Raw genomic sequence first — 5,126 nt, forward strand, 5'->3', positions numbered from 1 at the left:
GACGGGGTTTCACCATGTTGGCCAGGCTGCTCTTGAACTCCTGAGCTCAGGTGATCTGCCCGCCTTGGCCTCCCGAAGTGCTGGGTTTACAGGTGTGAGCCACTGCGCCCAGCCAGCAGCTACCTTTTACCCATCAACTTCCTCCAAGTGTGGTTCCTCTTCTTTCTTTCTCCATATCAGTTGTTGACACTTGAATGGAACAAGATTCACTTATTTTAACTAAATAAGAAACAGTCACAGTCATGGAATCAGGAGCTTTCCATTGACTATGAAGATAGAAAATGTAATGATAACACTTAACAATCTTTTCACAAGCTGATTCTAGAAACTAGGTCCTAGGCCGTGACTCACTTGAGATGTAAAGCGACAGAACAAGAGTAACCCAGTGAAAGCTCTCATAAATGAAGTTTTTATGTATATAGGACTAATGAAAACAAGAATAAGGTATAAGAAATATTCTTGAAGAATGTGAGGTACCTGAGCTGCACACTGAGAAGCAGTTGTCTCACAGTAAAATGAATACAGAACCCCCTTGTGAGACTGGTGTTGACATTCGATGTTATAGGTTGCGTCAAAGACAATCTACGAGGGAGGCTGTCTACCTGCGGAAGGTCATGGAGTTAAACTGTCCGCCATGCTGACTCGGCACAGTGGCATTCATCACAGCACACAGGTTTCTTCCACGGCAAACAGAACTTCCTCAGGCGTGAGAAGAAACCTGGCATTTTCTGCTACCTGCGGGCTTCTGCTTTTTGAAGCCAGGAAGGACATCTGTAAAAGTTGGCTGCCTGCATGGCAGACCACGCAAAATGCCAAGGAGAGTGATTTATGTCCCATCCTCTGAGACTAAACAGGAAATACACCCAGATTTTAGTAATGAAAGGTCAGGACAGGGAAACACTTTTATTATACTGCTTTCAAAAAACCTAAAATAAGGACATTATTTCCACAATTTACACATTTCCACTTAATGTAGCACTTCTATCCCTAAGTTCTGAATTGTGATAGATATTTAAATGTAGTACCACTTTTTAAAAGCATAAATCTCAGAGCTTCTATGTATTTCTCAAGGGTAAAAAGGTACAGTACATTTCCTTTCTTTAACTCATCCCTGTTTTGTTAAGTAAATTTGTTAAGTAATGAGTCAGAACACATAGCTCAGATAACCAGTGGACTTAAGAATCATAACGTTTTAAAGTTGGAAAGAGACATGATAATCATTAAGGGGTCGAATTCCTTCTTTTTTAGAAATATGTGAACTTGTGTCTGGGAAGTCAGATTAATTGCTAAAATTTCCCATTGAGAACATAAAAAGCAAATAAAAGAAACAATGGACTGTTTCTATATAATTTTTAGTTTTCATAATATCTTTAAGATAGAAAATTGAAATATGAAGAGAATGGCTAGTGACAGTTCATTCTTATCTAACTTGGATTTGAAAAACAATATAGTGTTTTTGTTTTTTTTTTTACTTGTCCATGTGCTCTGGTATTATTGCTTGACACTCTCAATGACACTATGCTAAGCATCATAAGAGGAAGTTAAAGTGAGCAAGACAAAGAAAGACCCTGTCCTTAAAAAACAAAACAAAACAAAAAATCTTCTGGAGCTTAGGTAATTTTCTCAGAAGTCATTCATCAAATTTAGTCATTTGAATAATTTATTTGTTTATTATTATTCTTTTTTTTCAGTTTCTGAACACATTTACAAGAGAAAAGAATACAGGGAGATTCTGCCACTGTGGCTTATAGTCTAATGGACGAAAAAGCACATGTATAATCTCACACGTGAATGTATTTTAATTCTTAAGTGGATAATCTCTATCTGGAGGAGCAGAGAAAATAAAGTAAACAAAATAATATATCAGTATATTCACTGTTTCAAGTAGACCCACACAAAAAATGTTTTGCCTTAAATAGATAGAAAAAAAAAAGAGAATCGTCATGATTTGTACCAACTCAAACAATGTAATGGTCAGAACTTAATGTAACTTTATTTTAGTTTAGGAATAATGTACCCACATAAAATTTTTAAGTTATAATATAAATTATTTTACATCAATTTTTTATTATTAACCTTACTGGATGTCTTATTATTTCAGTGAACAAAACATATCTAATACACATATGCTTTTAACAGCTCCTTTTTGTTTTCCAGGAAAAAAAAATGCCAAGGGAACAGATACATTGAATTAAAAGCAACAACAATGCATCTCATGTGTATTTCATAATTACAAGCTAATTTATTTTATTTGGCAATGATTTTATTCTTAAATTTCAGCAACTAGGACTAAAAAGTCAAACAAATCCACCAGATTCTTTTAAACTGTCCTGTAAGCAGAACACTTTCAAAGCTGATAGTGCATGTTTCTTACTTTGGATGCAGATAACCTAGTGTTTCATACTGAAAAACTATACTATACATTTTTGAGATAGATGCAAATTCACAAGAAAAAGTGAATATTAAGGTATAAAATAAGAAAAAAATTCTGATGTAATGGTGGGAACAGCAAGTTCTTCTTCTTCTTAGGCTCTAGTTGTATTTAAGCTGAGAGGACTGCACTATCACTGAAGCTGTAGCCAGTCCTAATATGTGTTTTAGGATTTGCTGCACTAGTTTCCTTTGTTACTGCTCTCATGTTTCCTTGTGATTCACCCAACATTTATCCAAATTGAAGTTACAACTGTGAACTGAAAACGTTTTCATTGCTAATAACAACCGTAAGTCTAAGAATGGCCATAGATATCTGGCAGTACTGTAGGCTAAAAATTAGAAAGGGACCATTAGAAGGTGGAAAAAAATACATAAATGTAACAGGCAAGAGAAGAAAGAATGATCAGGAAAACCATATTAATTTATTTTATGAGCCTCTATTGACATTCAATAGTAGAGAAGAGAGGAAAGTAGAAGAAAGAGAGAGAAAGAGAAAGAAAAAGGGTTTACAGCTCAACTCTCAAAATCTATTTAAGATTTTATTTTCAAAACTGGAAAATTAAATTTAAAGAATATTAAAATGAAATTATCAGACAGGAAAATTAAAGTAACAATAATAAATATATAACTATAGATACATACTATTGAAAAAAGTAGATATCAACAAATAATGTAAAAAGTGAGATAGAAATTCTAAGAAAGAATAAAAATAAAATTTTATAAGTAAAAATAGTTATAATAGAAAAGATATGTCAATGGGCCCGTAATTATGCCATATATGGCTGGAGAGTCAGTGAGATGAAGATAGGTTGATAGAAACTTCCCAAACTGAAATATAAACAGGAAAATAATTTTTTTAAAAAGGAACAGAAACAGAACTTCAAAAACTTGTCAGACAGTATCCAAAGAAGTTGTAATGTACATATAATTATAAAGAGAAGAGAGAAAAGTATAAAGCAAAATAAATATTTAAAGTTATCATATATGAGAATTTTCCAAAACTAATGACAAACATGAAGTAACTAATAGTGCAAATACAGGGAACACCAAATAGTATAAACAAACTAACAAAACAACTGCAAAGAAAAATAGCAAGCAAGCAAGAAAACAAAACAAAAACAATAACCAAGACCTAACCCTAGGCTTACCATATTCCACCTAAAACCAAGCAAAATGGAAATAGTGAAAGAGGCTAGATGTGGAAAGTTGATATGTTACCTACAGAGTTACTAGCACATAAATTACAGCACACTCCTTGTCAGAAACAACGTGGACAAAAGAGAGGAAGGAAAAAAGTGCTGACAGGAAAAAAGAAAGCTAACATAACAACCCAAAATTCTACATTTAAGAATATTGTTGTTCAAAATTAAAAGAGAAATAAAGACAATTCTCAGACAAATGAAGAAGCAAATTTTATCCTCAGTAGACCTACACCATAAGATATATTAAAATAAATTCCTAATGTAGAAAGAAAATGAGATAGGTCAGAAACTCAGATCTGTGGAAAGACAAGAAAATAAGAAAGACATTACTGTATTTTGCACATAAAATTTTAGTGGATAGATCTCATGTTAAGTGTGCTGACCATAATATTAAAAGAAATAAAAATAATGTGCAAAAATAAAGGTAAAGTATTATATTTTATTATAATTACATAAAATAACCGTTAACTTTAAATAATAATACCAACAATATATTGGGTGATATAACATGCAGGTCAGTAAAATAAATGACAGCAGTGGGAGGGAGAAATTGGAAATACTCTAAGTTACTTTACTACAGGTGATGCAGAATAGTGTTAATTGAAGGTGGCATTAATTAAATTGTAAATATATCTTGCAAAATTGTAAATATATCTAAGGCACCAATATTTTTATTAAAGTTAATATGCTAATGGAGGAGATATATTGGCATCATATAAAATACACATTTAAAATCAGAGAAGCCAAAAATAAGGCAAAACAAAAAACAAAAAAAGAAGTACAACAGGTACAGTGAATAAAAAATAATAACAGTAACAGAAATGGTAGGTGTTAATCCAACTATATAAATAAAAACTTTAAATGGGAATGGTCTATAGACAGAACCTGTTATAGCTGATAACATACACATATAAACACACAAGACCCAACTATATGCAAGACCCAACTATATGGTTTCTCCAACAAAAAGCAACCAAACAAAAAATATATACATATACAAAGACTCAAATAGGTGAAATGTAAAAGGATGGAGAGAGAAATACCTTAACAAGCTATAGTAGTTATATTAATTTCAAACCAAAAAGTATTCAGAAAAAAATAGTTTACATTAAAGAGAGACATTACATGATAATAAGGGAGTCATTTCTCCAAAAAATATGTGGCAATCCTTAGATTATACACATGTAACAACAGAGAATCATAGTACATAAGATAAGAACTGATAGAAGAGTTAAGAATAATAGATAAATACACTGTTATAGTTGAAAACTTCAACACTACTCTACCAGCAATTGACAGATCAGGTAATAATTAAGAATATACATGAACTAAATAACACAATCCATCAGCTGTGTCTGTCATTTACAAAATGCTTCATTCAACAACAGAACACACATTCTTCTAAAGCTCATGTGAAACTCAGCTTCTAGTGTTCCAAGAACAGCACGTGATCTCTTCTAAAGATAGATCACATGCTTGGCCATAAAATAC

At 32.2% G+C, this 5,126-nt stretch overlaps 1 annotated feature.

The window, feature by feature from the left end:
• Nucleotides 203-1,402: an enhancer, noted in NCBI's record as "BRD4-independent group 4 enhancer chr5:103707754-103708953 (GRCh37/hg19 assembly coordinates)". NCBI's record gives its function as "activates an origin of replication core promoter dependent on BRD2, P300/CBP, MED14 and CDK7 cofactors, and independent of BRD4, by STARR-seq in HCT116 cells {active_cell/tissue: HCT116}" and the evidence as "EXISTENCE:reporter gene assay evidence [ECO:0000049][PMID:35650434]".

The sequence above is a fragment of the Homo sapiens genome, chromosome 5, assembly GCF_000001405.40.
Source record: "Homo sapiens chromosome 5, GRCh38.p14 Primary Assembly".
Lineage (NCBI taxonomy): Eukaryota > Metazoa > Chordata > Mammalia > Primates > Hominidae > Homo > Homo sapiens.